We start from the raw sequence: 23,112 nt of genomic DNA on the forward strand, positions 1-23,112 counted from the left end.
TTATTTATATCACTCTAACAGTCCTTATTTCCTTCCTTCTGCCTGTTTGGGGTTAGTTTAATTTTCTTGCTCCTGTGTCTTAACATAAAAATTTAGAAGAATTTTTTGAGAGCACTACTCTTTTTTCAATATAGGTGTTTATAGCTATACATTTGCATCTAAGAGCTAATTTAGCCACATCCTACAAGGCTGGGATCTTGTGTGCATCTTTCTCCCTTCAGTTGTGTCCATTTTTGCTTCGTGTATTGTGGGGCACTATTGCTATGTGTCTATATATTTTTATAAAAATCTTTATATCTTCTTGATGGATTGAGCACTCTACCGTGATAAAACGTCCTTCTCTGTATCTAAATCGAATTGTTGTCTTAAAGTATATTTTTGTCTCAGAGAATATTAGTAGAGCCACTCCAACTCTCTTTTCATGATTGTTTCCACACTATACTTTTCCACGCTTTTATTTTAAGCAATTTATGTCTTTGAAAGTAAAGCACACCTCTTCAAGATAGCATGTAACTGGAGCATTTAAACAAATCTGTTCTGCCAATCTCTCCTTTTGGTTTTGTTGAGGGCATTTTCTTCTACATTTATAAAAGATATTGTTCTGTAGTATGCTCTTCTTGGGATGTCCTCTTCTGCCTTTGGTTTCTGGGTAATATTGGTCTCATAGAATGACTTCAGTGAATTTGAGCAAGTTACCTAACTTTCATGAACCTCAAAGACTAAGAGGAATGTGAATGGGCTGAGTCTGGAAGGTCTTCTTTTCTCTAAGCAGTCTTCTCCAGGTGGTGGTGGGGCGGAGGCACCTGCTAGGAGTAGAATGAGGAGTGGATGGATAGTGGGGTCAGATATCATCCTGTGCACCCCTTATCTCCCAGGTCCTCCCTTCACCTTCCTGCCCATCCTCTCTCCCTCCCCATTTACATCTACCACAAGGAATTCGAAGGAGTTTGCAGAACTTTAGATGAAATTTCTCTTTCTCCAACAGTGGATTGGATAAGAGGCGCACAAAATATTTCCGAACCCAAATATTTTTCAGAGAACATAGGATGATGAAGAAACAATGTGCCGTTGAACTTCTATACTTTCTTCCACACAGTGAAAAGCATATTTAGTCTTTACAGTGGGTAATAAAATCCCTGAGTCCAGAAAATGAAACCTGGGGGAACGAAGAGGCTTCACTGAGGCTTCAGTATTTTGGCAATCTTCATAGCCAAGGAAAGGCTTGCTGGGGCACTAGGAGCAGGACTGATGGCTGTAGAATCACACAGCATACAGAATGGAAGATCAGGCTTCCTCTTACCACGGGAACTCCCAATCTGGTTTGAAAAATGGGACCCATACATGACATTATTCAATACAACGAAAGGTGCTATATAAGCTGAAGAGCCTTCGAAAAGATGGACGAGAATTAGTCACTGCCATTGAGAAGTTCAGAGTCCGGTGGGAGAGATAAGGCTCATAGACAATGATACTTATCATAGTGAATATTACCTTTCTTACAGGAACAAAGAGGAGGGAAGAAACAACTTCCTGAGGGAGTCAGGAGCACTTGCTCCAAGTTTAAGCGATGAATTGCAGGTTATCAACCATCAAAGCTGTGGCAATGACATTCTGGGAAGAAGGAACAGAATTTGCAAAGAAGGAAGCTTATTTGACACACATTTTTTGAGAGCTCTGTCTTCCCCAAATAGTGTGCAAGTTTTGAGAGCTACAGAGGAAATGAACAATGCCTCTGTCCAGATCACTAATGAATCCATGTACCCTGAACTGGCAAGGGAAACATTCACAAGCCGGTTCTCATCATTTTAAAAGGTATAATGACTCCAAGGATGCCTGGGGAAGGCCATCTCGTCATCCGGTCAGGTCCCCCACAGGGGAAGTCAGTACCATGCTATGATCACCGTTATTCCCAGTTTTGTAGGTGCAGCAATTAAACGTTGTCCACACATCCAGAGGGAATTGGGCTACAGAAGACTGCCTCACATTGATAAAATTTACCAAAATTATACCCATATGGTACACAAAATGAGGTCAGGTGCATCATTTGAATGAAACATTGACAATTTTAAAACACATTAAATAATTTTTCCTAAATGGTACATTTTGCCTCACGTTTGTTTTTTACAGTAACTTTCTATTTATGACAAGTCATGTTGGATTTCCACTTATGGTAGTGATATTAAGTTTCCTTTGAAAATATACTTATTGATGAAAAACTATTTTGTTCAAAGGAAAACACTATGCCTTCTAAACACGACAATGAAGATAGCGTGTGATATTAATGAATTAAAATTCTAAACAAACTATAAGAAATGCAAGTGAAATATTAACGTAGATCGGAAGCATTTGGTATTATAATAGTTTTACCACAATTAAATATCGCAAAAAGAGTGAAGGTGGTAAACGGATGATTACTGAAATCAGGGACCAACTCGAATTTTCTCCCAGAGTCCAGTGAATGCGTCAGACACTCAGCTTTGGTTCCCATGGTAACTAGGACTAATGGTCTCAGGACTAAGAATGAGACAAAGAGAAACACAGAGAAATGTGCACATTCTGTCTTCCTGTGAGGTACACAAGCCCCTATTCAGCAAATGAAAAGAACATTCACTTTAGTTCTGCCCTGACCTCCCCTCACTGCTGGGTGGAGGAGAACGGAAAGGCAGAGGGATCCAATACCAATCTTAAGCGTTTACATCCAGGCTTCCTTGTCCCTTAGCCACCATCTTACCAACAATGTGTTGTACCTCCAAATCATGCCCGTGGAATCTAGGATTCTTGCTATCCCAATCCACTTGCCCTGTTCCCCACCCACTAGCCGCTATCATAATATGGGAGGTTTTCAGTCATCCCCATTTTATGTCAGATAGTTCCAGCCCGATTTCAGAAATGCTGCCCCAGAAAAGTTCCCTGACCCTTCCTGCCAGATCGCACAGAACAGAACTGACTCCCTCCCTTTTCTCCTCTGTGGCCTGGGAGACCTCGGCCCAGATCATGGGCTCCCACTTCCTGCCACACTCCCATTCCACCAGGGCCTGGGGGGAGACCCAAAGGAGGGAAGTTTCTGACAGTCTCCTGTTTGGGGAAGCAGCCAAACTAATGAGGGGCCTCTTCCCTGTCCCTTTTTCCTGAGTAGCTATCTCCTTTGTATTGGCTCCCTGTATCAGAGGCTGGACAAATAGGGTTCCAGGCAGGACATGACACATTCCACACCATAAATTTGTGAAGAAAAAACACACAAAAGCTGGGCATAGGCCCCCAACTTCAACTCCCTTCCTTCCATTTATTCCAGCGAGTCTCTGAAGTCCCTTTGTCCAGCTGCACTCTCCTTTCCTGGGACCCAGCTGCCATTTCCCATGTCCTGGAAACTCTCGGCCCAAAATACCCAAGTAACTTCATTGTACTATTCCTTTCTTGCATTGCTGTAAAGAAATACCTGAGACTGGGTAATTTATAAAGAAAAAAGGTTTAATTGGCTCACAGTTCTGCAAGCTGTACAGGAAGCCTGATTTTGGCATCTGCTCGGCTTCTGGCAAGGCCTCAGGAAACTTGCAATCCTAGCGGAAGGCAAAGGAAGAAGGAGCACTTCACAGGGGGAGGGAGAACTTCACATGGGTGGGGCAGAAAGAAGAGAGTCAGGAGGAGATGCTACACACTGTTAAACAACCAGCTCTCATGAGAGCTCTATCCTGATAACAGCACTAGGGAAATGATGCTAAACCATTAGAAACCACCCCCATCATCCAATCACCTCCTATCAGGCCCAACCTCCAACATTGGGGATTACAACTGGACATGAGATTTTGGCAGAGACACAGGTCCAAACCATATCCCTCATCTTCACTGCAGTGGAGCAACCCACACCCATAGCCATGCCCTCCACCAGAAGGAACCACATGAAGGTCTGCCCATCTTCCTGACCTCCATGGACAGTAGGCGATGCCCAGTCTCCTTTTGGTCTGGGGGTTTGTCTCATATGCTCTCCTTGGTACCCACCTGCCAGTGACTCCTCTGTGTTTCACACCCCTCTCAGGGGATCCCAGATCCACTTGGGTGCTGGTCTCTGTCTGGATGACTAGTACCAGTTTCCCTTAGAGAAGGGCCAATGGGAAATGCTTATGTGAGGAAGGTAATGCTTCGCTTGACTGCTTTGCTCTTAAGTCCTCAAAAAACACCACTTACAAGACTGTAGACTCTATGCCGCTTACAGACTTCAATGAAAAGTCAATAGTTTCTATATGAAATGATAGTGGAACAAACCACTAGTGAGCAATGGCTAAATATCATTGCCCCGGGAGTCCAAAAAGAACCACCCATCTCCTGCCTCCCACAGAAAAGGTAAGTTTCTCTAGGGACACTTCATTTTGGGTGAATCCCTGTTCATGGCTTTTCTTCCTGTTTTGAGCACTGCCCTTTTCTCACCCTGTAAAGGGGAAAGTCCCCTTCATTAATCTGCTTCACTGTAGGGATTTCTTTATGTCTCATCAGTGGAATCTGTCCACATCTCCACCTCTCTATGAACATATGTACACATAGGGATACTCACACAAAAGCTAAGGAACGATGACTGTCACACAATAATCCCTAACCAATTCACTTTGCAAAATCTGAATTTGTCAGCGTAGGTTAACCTCCATTACTCAGTCTGAGTCTCAGAGTCTTCAAAGTTCAATTCCTCATCCTCTGGACATCTCTGTCCTGCCAATCCATCATTCTCAATTTGGCCATCCCTGGGGATACAGATTATCAGCATGTCTTTAACCAATAGCATGAAGTGTGGGGCTGGCGGGGTGACTTTTTTTTTTAATTAAACAAAGCTAGCCTTTCTGGTTGATCTCATCTTTACCTCTCACTGTTTGAAATGTTTTATTTCTAAAGATGACCATTGTTTCTCTGCATCTTCAATTTCTTCTGCTCCACTGATACTTAACATCAGCATACTCCACCATCCTCTATCTTAAATACCTTCCCTTGTTCACACTTCCCTACTACTTATTGTTCCATATATTTGCTGCCCTTCACAGCAAAACTTTTCTGATATCTTGTCTAAACTGGTTGTCACCACTTCCTCATCTCCACTGTCAATGTCTTTTATCCCCTTCAGACCTTTAAACCTGCCTTTCTTCATGGTCTTTAACAAATAAATGCAATAGCAATCCTTAGAGGAAAGTTTATAGTAATAAATGCCTACATTAAAAAGTAGAAAAATGACAAATAAACAACTTAACTTTACACGTGAAGGAACTAGAATAAAAAGTAAAAACGAAGTCCAAAGTTAGCAAAAGGAAATAATAAAATATAATATAGACTAGAGCAGAAATATGCCAAATAAATAACAAGTCAAATAGAGAAATGGTAAACAAAATCACCAAAATTAGGAGTTTCCTTCTTGAAAAGATTAACAAAATTGATAAGCCTACAGCTAGACCTACTAAGAAAAAAGAGAGAAGCCACTAATAAATAAAATCAGGTTTGAAAGAGAAGATATTTCAATGGATGCCTCAGAAACAAAGAATATCCTAAGGGAAGATTATCAATGTATATACACCAACAAATCAGATAACCTACAATGGATACATTCTTAGAAACATAAAACCTACCAAAACTGAATAAAGCGAAGTAGAAATCCTGAACAGACCAAAACTATAAGGGTATTGCATTATTAATTAAAAATAGCCCAGCAAATAAAACCCCAGAAGCAGATGGATTCATGGGTGACTTCTAACAAACATTCAAAGAAAAAGTGCTAACAATCCTTCTCAAACTCTTCCAAAAAATAGAAGATGGAATACTGGCAAACTCATCTTATAAAGTTAGCATCACCCTGATCACTAAAGATACCAAAAGAAAATACGACTGCTGACCTATATCCCTGACAAACATAGATGCAGAAATCCTCAATGAAATATTAGCAAATTGAATTCAACAGCACGTTAAATGTATCATACGTCATAACCAAGTGGGATTTATCTCTGGGATACAAGAATGATTCTTCGTGCTCAAATCAATCAGTGTGATACATCACATTAACAAAATGAACATAAATATACCCCACATGATTACCTTGATAGATGCACAAAAAGCATTTGGCAAATTTCAACATCGATTGATTAATCTGTCCATGATTAAAACTCTCAACAAGATAGATGTAGAAGGAACTTACCTCAACACAATAAAGGCCATGTATGAAAATCCCACAGCAAACTTTATAATCAATAGGGAAAACCTAAAATCTGTCCCTCCAAGTTCAGGTACTAGGCAAATATGCCCACTCTCACCAATTCTATTCAATAGAGTACTGGAAGTCTTGGAGTTTTAGCCAGAACAACGAGATACAAAAAAGAAATAAAATGCTTCCAAATTGGAAAGGAAAAAGTAAAATTATCTCTGTTTTCAGTATCATCATAAAAACGTTTTGTTTAAACAATGTTTGTAAAACGATGATGTTTTGACATCATCATAAACAAAGAAAACCATAAAGACTCAACCAAAAGTAACGTTAGAATTCATAAACCAATTCGGTGTAATTGCAGGATATAAAATCAACATACAAAAATTAGTCACATTTCCACACGCAAACAGTGAACTATCCAAAAATGAAGTTAAGAAAACAACCCATTCACAACAGTAACAAAAATAATTAAATAATAAAATACTTAGGAATAAAGCCAACTGAAGAAGTTTAAGACCTGTACACTGAAAATTACAGAACATTGATGAAATAAATTAAAGAAGACACAGATGAATGGAAAGACATCTTGTGTTCTATACATTTCCAATATGTATAGAAACTCCTAAAAGTCAATAGCAAAACATGTATTAAAAATTTAAAAATGGCAAAAGACTTGAATGGACATTTCTCTAAAGAATACAAACAAATGGCCAACATGTATATGAAAAGATGCTCAATATCACTAAGCATAAGGAAAATGCAAATCAAAACTAGAAGGAGATATCACCTCGTGCCTGTTAGAATAGTTGTAACAACAGAAAACACTAAGGGCAATATGTATTGACAATATTGCCGAGAAATTGAAACCCTTTTAAAATATGGTAGGTATACAACGTGATGCAGTCATTATCAAAAACATTACAGGGTTCCACGAAAAAATTGCCATATGATCCAGCAATCCCACTTCTAGATATATTAAAAAGACGAATACAGGATCTCAAAGGGATATCTGCACTCTATGTTTGCTTCAGCATTATTTACAATAATCAAGTGATGGAAAAAACCCAAATGTCAATTGACAGATGAATGGATCAAGAAAATATGGTGACACACAATGGGATATTATTCAGACTTTAAGAAGGAAGACTTCCTGTGGAGGAGGTAGAGCAAGATGGCAGAATAGAAGGCTCCTCCGATCGACCCCCCATCCCTACTCCGCAAGGACATCAATTTATCTACACACAAAAATATGTTCATGAGAACCAAAAATCACAGTACCTGGTTTTCACTTTGTATCACTGAAAGATGCACTTAAGATGTAAAAGGGACTGTCTTGAATTGCTGACATGACCCATCCCACACCTCCCAACAGCAGTGGTGTGGTGTGGAGAGCACTTTTGCACGCTGGTGGAAGGAGAGCACAGCAACTGCAAGGCATTGAACTGAATGCTGTCCTGTTAGAGCAGAAAGGAAAACACAGCCATCAACTCAGCTGATGCCTACCCACAAAGGGAGCATTTAAACCAGCCTAGCCAGAGGGGAATTGCCAATGCCAGCAGTCAGAACTTGAGTTCCCACAAACCTCGCCACTGAGGAGTAACATGCTCTGGGTCTCTAAGTAAACTTGGAAGGCAGTCTAGGCCACAAGAACTGCAACTCTTAGGCAAGTCCTAGTGCTGAACTGGACCCAGAGACAGTGGACTGGGAGGGCACGTGACCTACTGAGACACCAGCTGGTGTGGCTAAGGGAGTGCTGGCATCACCCTCCCTGAACCCCAGGTTGCACAGCTTGCAGCTCCAAAAGAGACCCCTTCCTTCCACTTGAGGAGAGGAGAGGGAAGACTGGGGAGGACTTTGTCTTACATGTTGGATACCAGCTCAGCCACAGCAGGATAGGGCACCAGTCAGAGCCATAAGGCCCCCATTCTTGGCACTAGCTCCCATACATGTCTAGACACTCCCTGGGCCAGAAGGGAACCCACTGTCTTGAAGGGAAGGATCCAGTCCTGGCATCTTTTATCACCTGCTAACTGAAGTGTGCTTGGGCCCTTAAAAACCAGAAGTGATACCCAGGTACTACGTTGAGGGCCTTGGGAGAGTCTCTGAGACTTTCTGGATTCAGGAGAGACTTAGCACATTCTTAGCTGTGGTGGCTAGAGAGCAAAACTCCTTCTGCCTGTGAAAAGCAGAGGGAAAAGTAAAAGGGACTTTGTCTTGCACCTTAGGTACCAGCTTGGCCACAGGGGAGTTGAGGACCAAGCAAGCTCTTGGAGTTCCTGATTCTAGGACTTGACTCTTGGATGGCATTTCTGGACCTGCCCTGGGGCAAATGGGAGCCCATTGCCCTGAAAGGTGAGTTCCAGGCCAGGCAGCATTCACCACAAGCTGACTTAGGAGCCCCTGGGCCTTACAGGAACATCAGTGATAGTCTGGCAGCACTCCCTGTGGCCTGTGGTGGTATTGGCTATAGGGTGAGGCTCCTCTGCATTTGGAAAGAGGAGGGAAGAGTGAGAAGGGATGCATCTTGTGGTCTGATTGCCAGCTCAGCCACAGTACAATAGAACACCAGGTAGATTTCTAAGGATTTTTACTCTAACCCCTAATTCCCGGACGGTATCTCTGGACCCACTTGGGGCCTGGGGGACCTCACTGCCTTGAAGGGAAGGACAGAGGTCTGGCTGGCTTTGCCCCCTGCTGATTGTGGAATCCCAGGGCTTTGAGTGAACATAGGCAGTAGCCAGGGAGTGGTTACATCAGGCCTTGTTCAAAACCCAGTGTTGTTCAGGCATCAGGTCTGACCCAGTGCAGTCCCAGTGGTGGTGGCCACAGGGCATCTTGTGTCACTCTACCACCAGCTTTAGGTGGCTTGGAACACAGAGAGAGACTCCATTTGTTTGGGAGAAAATAAGGGAAGAAAATAAGAGTCTCTGCCTGGTATTTCAGAGAATTCTCCCGAAATCTGTCCTAGACCATCAGGGTGGTACCTCTGCACATCTGCAAGAATGATAGCATTATGGGCTTGGGGTGCCCCCTAAAGCAAATACAGCTTAAATCACAACACCAACTCCTTTTGAATAGCTGGAAAGCCTTACTAAGGAGGACAGGTACAAACAAGCCCAGACAATGAAGACTACAATAAATACCAATGCACAGACACTGACAAACATCTACAAACATCAACATCATCTGGGAAAACATTACCTCACCAAGTGAACTAAATAAGGCACCAGAGACCAATCCTGGAGAAACAGAGATATGTGACCTTTCAGACAGATAATTCAGTATAGCTGTTTTGAGGAAGCTCAAAGAAATTCAAGAGTAACACTGAGAAGGAATTCAGAATTTTATTAGATAAACTTAACAAAGATATTGAAATAATTAAGATGAATTGAGCAGAAATTCTGGAGTTGAAAAATGCAATTGGCATACTGAAGAATAGATCAGCATCTTTTAATACCAGAATTGATCAAGCAGAACAAAGAATTAGTGAGCTTGAAGACAAGCTATTTGAAAATACACAGAAGAGACAAAAGGAAAAAGAAAAACAAACAATGAAGCACACCTAAAAGATCTAGAAAATAGCCTCATGAAAGCAAAGCTAAGAGTTATTAGCCTTAAAAAGAAGGTAGAGAAAGAGATAGGGGTAGAAAGTTTATTCAAAGGGAACATAACAGAGAACTTCCCAAACCTAGAGGAAGATATCAATATGCAAGTACTAGAAAATTATAGGACACCAAGCAGATTTAACCCAAAGAAGACTAGCTCAAGACATTTAATAATCAAACTCCCAAAGATCAAGGATAAAGAAAGGATTCTAAAAGCAGCAAGAGACAAGAAACAAATAACATATAATAGAATTCCAATACATCTGGTAGCTGGCTTTTCAGTAGAAACTTTACAGGCCAGGAGAGAGTCACATGGCATATTTAAAGTGCTGAAGGAAAGAAACGCTTACCCTAGAATAGTATATCTGGCAAAAAAAAAAAAAAAATCCTTCAAACATGAAAGAAAAATAAAGACATTACCAGACAAACAAAAGCTGAGAGATTTCATGAACACCAGACCTGTCCCACAAGAAATGCTAAAAGAGGTACTTCAACTGGAAGGAAAGGACAATAATGAGCATCAAGTAATCACCTAAAGATACAAAACTCACAGGTAATAGTAAATACACAGAAAAACACAGAATATTACAACACTGTAACTGCAGTGTGTAAACTACTCTTTCCCTAAGTAGAAAGGCTAAATGATGAGCCAATCAAAAATAATAATTACAATGTTTTTCACGACATGAACAGTACAATAAGATATAAGAGAAAAAAGAAAAAATTAATAAGTAGGGGGACAAAGTTAAGGTATAGCATTTTTATTAGCTTTCTTTTTGCATGTTTGCTTATTTATGCAAACAGTGTTGTTATCAGCTTAAAACAATTGGTTATAAGATAGAAATTGCAAGCCTCATGGTAACCTCAAACCAAAAACATACACAAGGGACACACACAAAAAAATCAAGAAACCGACATATATCACCAGTGAAAATCACCCTCACTTGAGGAAGACAGGAAGGAAAGAAAGAAGGAAGAAAAGACCACAAAACACCAGAAAACAAATAACAAAAGGGCAGGAATAAGTTATTACTTATCAGTAATATTTGTATTACTTCATTCTCATGTTGCTTTAAAGAACTGTCTGAGACTGGGTAATTTATAAAGAAAAGAAGTTTAATTGACTCACAGTTCCACAGGGCTGGGGAGGCCTCAGGAAACTTGTGACCATAGCAGAAGGGGAAGCAAACACATCCTTTTACACATGGCAGCAGGAAGGAGAAGTTTTGGGAGCAAGCCCCCCAAAATCTGGCCATAAACTGGCCCCAAAACTGGCCATAAACAGAATCTCTGCAGTACTGTGACATGTTCATAATGGCCCTAATGCCCAAGCTGGAAGGTTGTGGGTTTACGGGAATGAGGGCAAGGAAGAACTGGCCCACCCAGGGTGGAAAACAGCTTAAAGGCATTCTTAAGCCACAAACAATAGCATGAGCGATCTGTGCCTTAAGGACATGCTCCTGCTGCAGTTAACTATCCCAACCTATTCCTTTAATTCGGCCCATCCCTTCGTTTCCCATAAGGGATACTTTTAGTTATTTTAACATCTATGGAAACAATGCTAATGACTGGTTTGCTGTTAATAAATACGTGGGTAAATCTCTGTTCGGGGCTCTCAGCTCTGAAGGCTGTGAGAACCCTGATTTCACACTTCACACCTCTATATTTCTGTGTGTGTGTCTTTAATTCCTCTAGTGCTGCTGGGTTAGGGTCTCTCTGACCAAAATCATCAGATCTTGTGAGAACTCACTCACTATCACGAGAACAGCATGTGGTAACCGCCCCCAAGATTCAATTACGTCCCACCAGGTCCCTCCCATGACGTGGGGATTATGGGAACTATAATACAATTCAAGGTGAAATTTGGGTGTGGACACATCCAAGCCATATCAATATTGAATGAAAATGGACTAAACTCTCCAATCACAAGACATAGACTAGCTGAATGGATAAAAAACAATACCCATCAGTCTGTTGCCTACAAGAAACACACTTCACCTATAAAGACACACAAAGACTGAAAATAAAAGGATGGAAAAAGGTAGTCCATAGCAATGGAAACCAAAAAGCAGCAGGAGTCACTGTACTTACATCAGACAAAATAGATGTCAAGACCAAAACCATAAGAAAAGAAACAGGTCACTGTATAATGCTGAAGGGTTCAACTTAGCAAGAGGATATAACAATTTTAAGTATATATGCACCCAACACTGGAGCACCCAAATATATAAAGCAAATATTATTAGAGTGAAAGAGACAGGCCCCAATACAATGATAGCTGGAAACTTCAACACCCCATTTTCAGCACTGGACAGATCTTCCAGTCAGAGAACCAAGAAAGAAACATCAGATTTAATCTTTATTGTAAATCAAATGGCTCTAATAGTTTGCAAGAGCAAATCAAACCCCAACATTAGTAGAAGAAAAGGAATAATAAATATCAGAGCAGAAATAATGTTGAAGAAAGAAGGCAGAAGATTAATGAACTAAAAAAGTTACTTTTTTGAAAACTTAAACAAAATTGACCAACCTCTAGCCAGACTAAGAGAGAAGATCCAAATAAATAAAATCAGACATGAAAAAAGAGACATTAAAGCTGATACTGCAGAAATTCAAAGGATTATTAGTGACTAATATGAGCAACTAAATGCCAATAAACTGGAAAATCTAGAAGAAATGGGCAAATTCCTAGACACATACACCCACCAACATTGAACCTGAAAGAAACCCAAAACCTGAACAGACCAATAACAAGTAACAAAATTGAGGCCATAATAAAGTCTGCCAGTAAAGAAAAGCCCAGGACCCAATGGCTTCCCTGCTGAATTCTACCAAATATTTAAAGATGAGCTAATACTAATCCTACTCAATACTACTCCGAAAAATAGAGGAAGAGAGACTACTTCCAAACTCATTCTACGAGGCCAGTATTACCCTGATACCACAACCAGGCATCAAAAAAAGAAAGCTACAGGCCAATATCTCTTAGGAATATTAATGCAAAAATCCTCAACAAAATACTAGCTAACTGAATTCAATAATACATTAGAAAGATCAGTCATCACGACCAACTGGGATTTCTCCCTGGAATGCAAGGATGATTCAACATATGCCAATCAATCAATATGATACATCCTATCAACAGAATGAAGGATAAAAATGATATAACCATTTCAATGGATCATTTCTATATAAAGCATTTGATAATATCCAACATCCCTTCATGATAAAAACCCTCAAAAACTGGGGATAGAAGGAATATACCTCGGCAAACGTGAAGATGGCTGAATAGGAACAGCTCCAGTCTACAGCTCCCAGCGTAAGCGACGCAGAAGACGGGTGATTTCTGCATTTCCATCTGAGGTACCGGGTTCATCTCACTAGGGAGTGCCAGACAGTGGGCGCAGGCCAGTGGGTGCGCGCACCGTGCGCGAGCCGAAGCAGGGCGAGGCATTGCCTCACCTGGGAAGCGCAAAGGGTCAGGGAGTTCCCTTTCCGAGTCAAAGAAAGGGGTGATGGACCCACCTGGAAAATCGGGTCACTCCCACCCGAATATTGCGCTTTTCAGACCGGCTTAAAAAACGGCGCACCATGAGACTATATCCCACACCTGGCTCGGAGGGTCCTACGCCCACGGAATCTCGCTGATTGCTAGCACAGCAGTCTGAGATCAAACTGCAAGGCGGCAGCGAGGCTGGGGGAGGGGCGCCCGCCATTGCCCAGGCTTGCTTAGGTAAACAAAGCAGCCGGGAAGCTCGAACTGGGTGGAGCCCACCACAGCTCAAGGAGGCCTGCCTGCCTCTGTAGGCTCCACCTCTGGGGGCACAGCACAGACAAACAAAAAGACAGCAGTACCCTCTGCAGACTTAAATGTCCCTGTCTGACAGCTTTGAAGAGAGCAGTGGTTCTCCCAGCATGCAGCTGGAGATCTGAGAACTGGCAGACGGCCTCCTCAAGTGGGTCCCTGACCCCTGACCCCTGAGCAGCCTAACTGGGAGGCACCCCCCAGCAGGGGCACACTGACGCCTCATACAGCAGGGTATTCCAACAGACCTGCAGCTGAGGGTCCTGTCTGTTTGTTAGAAGGAAAACTAACAAACAGAAAGGACATCCACACCAAAAACCCATCTGTACATCACCATCATCAAAGACCAAAAGTAGATAAAACCACAAAGATGGGGAAAAAACAGAACAGAAAAACTGGAAACTCTAAAACGCAGAGCGCCTCTGCTCCTCCAAAGGAACGCAGTTCCTCACCAGCAACGGAACAAAGCAGGATGGAGAATGACTTTGATGAGCTGAGAGAAGAAGGCTTCAGACGAACAAATTACTCTGAGCTACGGGAGGACATTCAAACCAAAGCAAAGAAGTTGAAAACTTTGAAAAAAATTTAGAAGAATGTATAACTAGAATAACCAATACAGAGAAGTGCTTAAAGGAGCTGATGGAGCTGAAAACCAAGGCCCGAGAACTACGTGAAGAATGCAGAACCCTCAGGAGCCGATGCGATCAACTGGAAGAAAGGGTATCAGCAATGGAAGATGAAAGGAATGAAATGAAGTGAGAAGGGAAGTTTAGAGAAAAGAGAATAAAAAGAAATGAACAAAGCCTCCAAGAAATATGGGACTATGTGAAAAGACAAAATCTACATCTGATTGGTGTTCCTGAAAGTGATGGGGAGAATGGAACCAAGTTGGAAAACACTCTGCAGGATATTATCCAGGAGAACTTCCCCAATCTAGCAAGGCAGGCCAACGTTCAGATTCAGGAAATACAGAGAACGCCACAAAGATACTCCTCGAGAAGAGCAACTCCAAGACACATAATTGTCAGATTCACCAAAGTTGAAATGAAGGAAAAAATGTTAAGGGCAGCCAGAGAGAAAGGTCGGGTTACCCTCAAAGGGAAGCCCATCAGACTAACAGCGGATCTCTCGGCAGGAACCCTACAAGCCAGAAGAGAGTGGGGGCCAATATTCAACATTCTTAAAGAAAAGAATTTTCAACCCAGAATTTCATATCCAGCCAAACTAAGCTTCATAAGTGAAGGAGAAATAAAATACTTTACAGACAAGCAAATGCTGAGAGATTTTGTCACCACCAGGCCTGCCCTAAAAGAGCTCCTGAAGGAAGTGCTAAACATGGAAAGGAACAACCAGTACCAGCCGCTGCAAAATCATGCCAAAATGTAAAGACCATCGAGACTAGGAAGAAACTGCATCAACTAACGAGCAAAATCACCAGCTAACATCATAATGACAGGATCAAATTCACACATAACAATATTAACTTTAAATGTAAATGGACTAAATGCTCCAATTAAAAGACACAGACTGGCAAATTGGATAAAGAGTCAAGACCCATCAGTGTGCTGTATTCAGGAAACCCATCTCATGTGCAGAGACACACATAGGCTCAAAATAAAAGGATGGAGGAAGATCTACCAAGCAAATGGAAAACAAAAAAAGGCAGGGGTTGCAATCCTAGTCTCTGATAAAACACACTTTAAACCAACAAAGATCAAAAGAGACAAAGAAGGCCATTACATAATGGTAAAGGGATCAATTCAACAAGAAGAGCTAACTATCCTAAATATATATGCACCCAAAACAGGAGCACCCAGATTCATAAAGCAAGTCCTGAGTGACCTACAAAGAGACTTAGACTCCCACACATTAATAATGGGAGACTTTAACACCCCACTGTCAACATTAGACAGATCAACGAGACAGAAAGTCAGCAAGGATACCCAGGAATTGAACTCAGCTCTGCACCAAGCAGACCTAATAGACATCTACAGAACTCTCCACCCCAAATCAACAGAATATACATTTTTTTCAGCACCACACCACACCTATTCCAAAATTGACCACATAGTTGGAAGTAAAGCTCTCCTCAGCAAATGTAAAAGAACAGAAATTATAACAAACTATCTCTCAGACCACAGTGCAATCAAACTAGAACTCAGGATTAAGAATCTCACTCAAAGCCACTCAGCTACATGGACACTGAACAACCTGCTCCTGAATGACTACTGGGTACATAACGAAATGAAGGCAGAAATAAAGATGTTCTTTGAAACCAAAGAGAACAAAGACACAACATACCAGAATCTCTGGGAGGCATTCAAAGCAGTGTGTAGAGGGAAATTTATAGCAGTAAATGCCCACAACAGAAAGCAGGAAAGATCCAAAATTGACACCCTAACATCACAATTAAAAGAACTAGAAAAGCAAGAGCAAACACATTCAAAAGCTAGCAGAAGGCAAGAAATAACTAAAATCAGAGCAGAACTGAAGGAAATAGAGACACAAAAAACCCTTCAAAAAATCAATGAATCCAGGAGCTGGTTTTTTGAAAGGATCTACAAAATTCATAGACAGCTAGCAAGGCTAATAAAGAAAAAAAGAGAGAAGAATCAAATAGACACAATAAAAAATGATAAAGAGGATATCACCACCGATCCCACAGAAATACAAACTACCATCAGAGAATACTACAAACACCTCTACGCAAATAAACTAGAAAATCTAGAAGAAATGGATAAATTCCTCGACACATACACTCTCCCAAGACTAAACCAGGAAGAAGTTGAATCTCTGAATAGACCAATAACAGGATCTGAAATTGTGGCAATAATCAATAGTTTACCAACCAAAAAGAGTCCAGGACCAGATGGATTCACAGCCGAATTGTACCAGAGGTACAAGGAGGAACTGGTACCATTCCTTCTGAAACTATTCCAATCAATAGAAAAAGAGGGAATCCTCCCTAACTCATTTTATGAGGCCAGCATCATTCTGATACCAAAGCCGGGCAGAGACATAACCAAAAAAGAGAATTTTAGACCAATATCCTTGATGAACATTGATGCAAAAATCCTCAATAAAATACTGGCAAACCGAATCCAGCAGCACATCAAAAAGCTTATCCACCATGATCAAGTGGGCTTCATCCCTGGGATGCAAGGCTGGTTCAATATACGCAAATCAGTAAATGTAATCCAGCCTATAAACAGAGCCAAAGACAAAAACCACATGATTATCTCAATAGATGCAGAAAAAGCCTTTGACAAAATTCAACAACCCTTCATGCTAAAAACTCTCAATAAATTAGGTATTGATGGGACGTATTTCAAAATAATAAGAGCTATCTATGACAAACCCACAGCCAATATCATACTGAATGGGCAAAAACTGGAAGCATTCCCTTTGAAAACTGGCACAAGACAGGGATGCCCTCTCTCACCGCTCCTATTCAACATAGTGTTGGAAGTTCTGGCCAGGGCAATTAGGCAGGAGAAGGAAATAAAGGGTATTCAACTAGGAAAAGAGGAAGTCAAATTGTTCCTGTTTGCAGACGACATGATTGTATATCTAGAAAACCCCATTGTCTCAGCCCAAAATCTCCTTAAGCTGATAAGCAAATTCAGCAAAGTCTCAGGATACAAAATCAATGTACAAAAATCACAAGCATTCTTATACACCAACAACAGACAAACAGACAGCCAAATCATGAGGGAACTCCCATTCACAATTGCTTCAAAGAGAATAAAATACCTAGGAATCCAACTTACAAGGGATGTGAAGGACCTCTTCAAGGAGAACTACAAACCACTGCTCAAGGAAATAAAAGAGGATACAAACAAATGTAAGAACATTCCATGCTCATGGGTAGGAAGAATCACTATCGTGAAAATGGCCATACTGCCCAAGGTAATTTATAGATCCAATGCCATCCCCATCAAGCTACCAATGGCTTTCTTCACAGAATTGGAAAAAACTACTTTCAAGTTCATATGGAACAAAAAAGAGGCCGCATTGCCAAGTCAATCCTAAGCCAAAAGAACAAAGCTGGAGGCATCACACTACCTGACTTCAAACTATACTACAAGGCTACAGTAACCAAAACAGCATGGTACTGGTATCAAAACAGAGATATAGATCAATGGAACAGAACAGAGCCCTCAGAAATAATGCCACATACCTACAACTATCTGATCTTTGACAAACCTGAGAAAAACAAGCAATGGGGAAAGGATTCCCTATTTAATAAATGGTGCTGGGAAAACTGGCTAGCCATATGTAGAAAGCTGAAACTGGATCTCTTCCTTACACCTTATACAAAAATCAATTCAAGATGGATTAAAGATTTAAACGTTAGACCTAAAACCATAAAAACCCTAGAAGAAAACCTAGGCATTGCCATTCAGGACATAGGCATGGGCAAGGCCTTCATGTCCAAAACACCAAAAGCAATGGCAACAAAAGACAAAATTGACAAATGGGATCTAATTAAACTAAAGAGCTTCTTCACAGCAAAAGAAACTACCATCAGAGTGAACAGGCAACCTACAAAATGGGAGAAAATTTTCACAACCTACTCATCTGACAAAGGGCTAATATCCAGAATCTACAATGAACTCAAACAAATTTACAAGAAAAAAACAAACAACTCCATCAAAAAGTGGGCGAAGGACATGAACAGACACTTCTCAAAAGAAGACATTTATGCAGCCAAAAAACACATGAAAAAATGCTGATCATCACTAGCCATCAGAGAAATGCAAATCAAAACCACAATGAGATACCATCTCACACCAGTTAGAATGGCAATCATTACAAAGTCAGGAAACAACAGGTGCTGGAGAGGATGTGGAGAAATAGGAACACTTTTACACTGTTGGTGGGACTGTAAACTAGTTCAACCATTGTGGAAGTCAGTGTGGCGATTCCTCAGGGATCTAGAACTAGAAATACCATTTGACCCAGCCATCCCATTACTGGGTATATACCCAAAGTACTATAAATCATGCTGCTATAAAGACACATGCACACGTATGTTTATTGTGGCATTATTCACAATAGCAAAGACTTGGAACCAAGCCAAATGTCCAACAATGATAGACTGGATTAAGAAAATGTGGCACATATACACCATGGAATACTATGCAGCCATAAAAAATGATGAGTTCATGTCCTTTGTAGGGACATGGATGAAATTGGAAATCATCATTCTCAGTAAAGTATCGCAAGAACAAAAAACCAAACACCGCATATTCTCACTCATAGGTGGGAATTGAACGATGAGATCACATGGACACAGGAAGGGGAATATCACACTCTGGGACTGTTGTGGGGTGGGGGAAGGGGGGAGGGATAGCATTGGGAGATATACCTAATGCTAGATGACGAGTTAGTGGGTGCAGCGCACCAGCATGGCACATGTATACATATGTAACTAACCTGCACAATGTGCACATGTACCCTAAAACTTAAAGTATAATAAAAAAAAAGAAGGAATATACCTCAACATAATTAAAGTCATTTATGACAGACCCACAACTAGCATCACACTGAATGGGGAAAAACTGAAATCATTTCTTCTAAGATCTGAAACACAACAAGGAAGCCCACTTTCACTGCTGCTATTCAGCATGGTACTAGATGTCCTAGCTAGAGCAATCAGACAAGAGAAAGACATAATGGACATCCAAGTTGGAAAGCAAGAAGTTTAATTATTCTTGTTTGCAGAAAATATGATCTTATAAATGAAAAAATCTAAAGACTCCGTGAGAAAACTATTTGAGCTAATAAACAAACTCAGTAAAGTTGCAGGATACAAAATCGACATATGAAAATCAGTAGCATTTGTATATGCCAACAGTGAGCAATCTGAAAAAGAAATAAAAAAGTAATCCCATTTACAATAGCCACACATAAAATTAAATACCCAGGAATTAACCGAAGAAGTGAAAGATCTCTATAAAGAAAACTATAAAACACTGATGAAATAAATTGAAGAGGACACGAAAAAATGGAAAAATATTCCATGTTCACAGATTGGAAGAATCAACACTGTTAAAATCTTCATACCACCCAAAGCAATTTACAGATTCAATGCAATCCCTATCAAAATACCAATGACATTCTTCACAGAAATAGAAAAAACAATTCTAAAATTTATATGAAACCAAAAAAGACCAAGAATAGCCAGCACTATTTGGCTAACAAATAAAAATAAAACATTATGAACTTAAAGTTTATACTACTGAGATATAATAACCAAAACAGCATGGTACTGGCATCAAAAGAGACACAGAGACCAATAGAACAGAATAGAGAACCCATAAACAAATCCACACACCTACACTGAACTCATTTTCGACAAAGGTGCCAAGTACCTACAGTAGGAAAAAGACAGTCTGTTCTATAAATGTTGCTGAGAAAACTGGATATCCATATGCAGAAGAATGAAACTAGGCCCCTATCTGTCACCATATAGAAAAATCAAATCAAAATGTATTAATGACTTAAATCTAAGACCTCAAACTATGGGACTACTGCACAAAAACATTGGGGAAAATTTCCAGGACATCAGACTGGGCAAAGATTTCTTGAGCAATACCCCACAAGCACAGGCAACCAAAGCAAAAATGGACAAATGAGATCACATCAAGTTAAAAGGCTTCTTCTGCACATCAAAGGAAACAATCAAGAAAGTGAAAAGACAACCCATAGAATGGGAGAAAATATTTGCAAACTACCCATCTGACAAGGGATTAATAACCAGAATATAGAAGGAGGTCAAACAACTCTATAAAACATCTAATGATCCGATCAAAAAATGGACAAAAGATTTGAATAGACATTTCTCAAAAGAAGACATACAAATGACAAAAAGTCATATGAAAAGGTGCTCAACATCACTGATCATCATAGAAATGCAAAACAAAACTACAATGAGATATCATCTCACCCCAGTTTAAATGGCTTCTATCCAAAAGACAGGCAATAACAAATGCTGGCGAGGATGTGGAGTAAAGGGAACTCTTGTACACTGTTGGTGGGAGTATACATTGGTACGGCCACTATGGAGAACAGTTTGGAGGTTCCTCAGAAAACTAAAACTTGAGCTACCATATGATCCAGCAATTTCAGTGCTGGATATATACCCCCAAAGAAAGAAAATCAGTATATTGGAGAGATATCTGCACTCACATATTTGTTGTGGCACTATTCACAATAGCTAAGATTTGGAAGCAACCTAAGTGTCCATCAAGAGATGAATGGATAAAAAACATGGTACATATACACAATGGAGTACTATTCAGCCATAAAAAGAATGAGATCCTGTCATTTGCAACAACATGGATGGAACTGGAGATGATTATATTAAGTGAAATAAGCTAAGCACAGAAAGACAAACACTGCATGTTCTCACTTGTTTGTAGGATCTAAAAATCCAAACAGTTGAACTCATGGACACAGAGAATAGAAGCCTGGTACCAGAGGCTGGGAAGGGTAGTGGGGGCTGGTGAGAAGGTAAGGATCATTATTGGGTACAAAAAAATAAAAAGAATTTATAACACCTACTATTTGATAGTACAACAGGGTGGCTGTAGTCAATAATAATTTAATTGTACATTTAAAAATAACTAAAAGAGTGTAACTGGTTTCTTTTATTATAACACAAAGGATAAATGCTTGAGGGGATGCATATCCCATTCTCTATGATGTGATCATTGTACAGCACACTCCTGTACCAAAACATCTCATGTATGCCCACAAAAATTAAAAATAAAAAAAATTAAAATAAAAAAGGAAATTCTATCTTTCATGACAACATCGATGGACCTAGAAGATACTAGCTAAGTGAAATAAATCAGTTGCAGAAGGACAAATACTGCATACTTTCTCTTCTATGAGGCATCAAAAATAGTCAAACATGTAGAAGTAGAAAATAGAGTGGTGGTTACCAGGAGATGGGGATATGGGATATTAGGAGCTCTTTTTTCAGTGGTTATAAAGTTACATTTATACAAGATGAGTGCGTTCCAGAGATTTCCTGCACAACATAGTGTCTGTAGTTAACAATGAGGTATTGTGCACTTAAACATTTGTTAAAAGGGTATATGTCATGTTAACTTTTCTTATAAAAAGAAAAGTTAAAAAACAACATTAAAAAACAACAACAAAGGAACACAAGGAAACTTTTGCAGGTTACGGATATGTTTATTACTCTGATTGTAGTATGGCGACATGAGTGTATACATATGTCCAAACTCATCAAATTGTACACATTAATTAGGTACAGTTTTTATATACCAGTTGTACCTCAGTAAATCTAGAAGCAGGAAGAAACCTTGTGTCACTTCATCAAAAATACATAACCATCCAAATATGTTATCAGCTAATTCCAGAGATTCAAAATATATGAAGAAAATATTGACAATAATAAAATAATAAATAGACAAATATACAAATATAACTGAAGACTTTCAACATCTTTCTGCCAAAAATTTACACAAGTAGACAAAAGAAAACCAGAAAGAACATTTTAAAAACTAAACACTACCAACCAACTCGACCTAATTGATGTTTATAATACATTCTTTGTGAGTCCATAAGAAACATCTACCAAGATTGACTGTGTTCTAGGCTCTAAGGCATGTCTCAGTAAATATCAGAGGACTGAAATTCAGATTATATTTTCTGATCAGATCATTATTAAATGAGTTATCTATAATAATAATATATCAAGAAATATCTATTTGGAAATTAAACAATCCACTTTTAAATAACTAATCTATTCAGGAATAAATCATAAGGAATTTATAAAATATTTTCTACTGAATTGTCATCAATTTTTTTAGGCAGATCTCAAATCAATCATCTTATGCCTTAAGACTCAAGAAAAGGAGTAGAAAATTAAACCCAAAGTAAATAAAAGAATAAATAATTAAAGTGGTAGATGTCATAATGAGAAAATATAAAAAATAAAAAAACAAATTCAAAAGGCCATTTAAAAAATATTAGTAAAGTTTATATAACCCTAGCCAGAGTGATTAAGAACCAAAATGACTCAAAATACCAACATAAGGAATGTAAAAGTGGAAATTACTGTAGACTCTAGTGAAATTAAAGGAAAGTAAAAATATATAAAAACTGGATAACAAAAATTTGGAAAACTTGGATAAAATGAACAAAATTTCTTGAAAAATATAATTTAACAAACTTACACATGAAAATATAGAACATGTAAGTGGTCCCACATAGAACTTAGTCAAAAGCCTTCTATCCTAGTTAGCTTCACCAGTGTATTCTCTTGATAATCAAGCAGGAAAACAATGCCAATTCTACAGAATTTCTTTCAGAAAATTGAATAGAATTAAAAACTTCCCAACTCATTCTATGAGACCAGCATCAACTAGATAAAATGTTAAGTTTCTTAAGTATTTCCAAATCAAGCAATGTAATATATCTCATTAACAGAATAAAGGAATGATAGTGTAACTATCTCAGTAGATTAAGAGAAAACTTTTGACACAATTTAA

General features: G+C 39.5%; 1 long non-coding RNA gene across 2 annotated transcripts in view; it reads right to left on the reverse strand.

The window, feature by feature from the left end:
* The window catches only part of LOC105377209 (uncharacterized), a 70,327-nt gene that overhangs the window by 13,447 nt on the left and 33,768 nt on the right, over nt 1-23,112 (reverse strand). Inside the window, exon 1 of one of the 2 annotated variants that reach the window (XR_938386.3) lies at nt 7,451-7,679. The exons of the other annotated variant lie outside the window; for it this stretch is intronic. This is a non-coding gene — a long non-coding RNA (uncharacterized LOC105377209). Of the gene's footprint in view, nt 1-7,450; nt 7,680-23,112 lie in introns of those variants that run through there. 2 annotated transcript variants of the gene reach the window in all.

This window comes from Homo sapiens, chromosome X (genome assembly GCF_000001405.40).
Source record: "Homo sapiens chromosome X, GRCh38.p14 Primary Assembly".
NCBI lineage: Eukaryota > Metazoa > Chordata > Mammalia > Primates > Hominidae > Homo > Homo sapiens.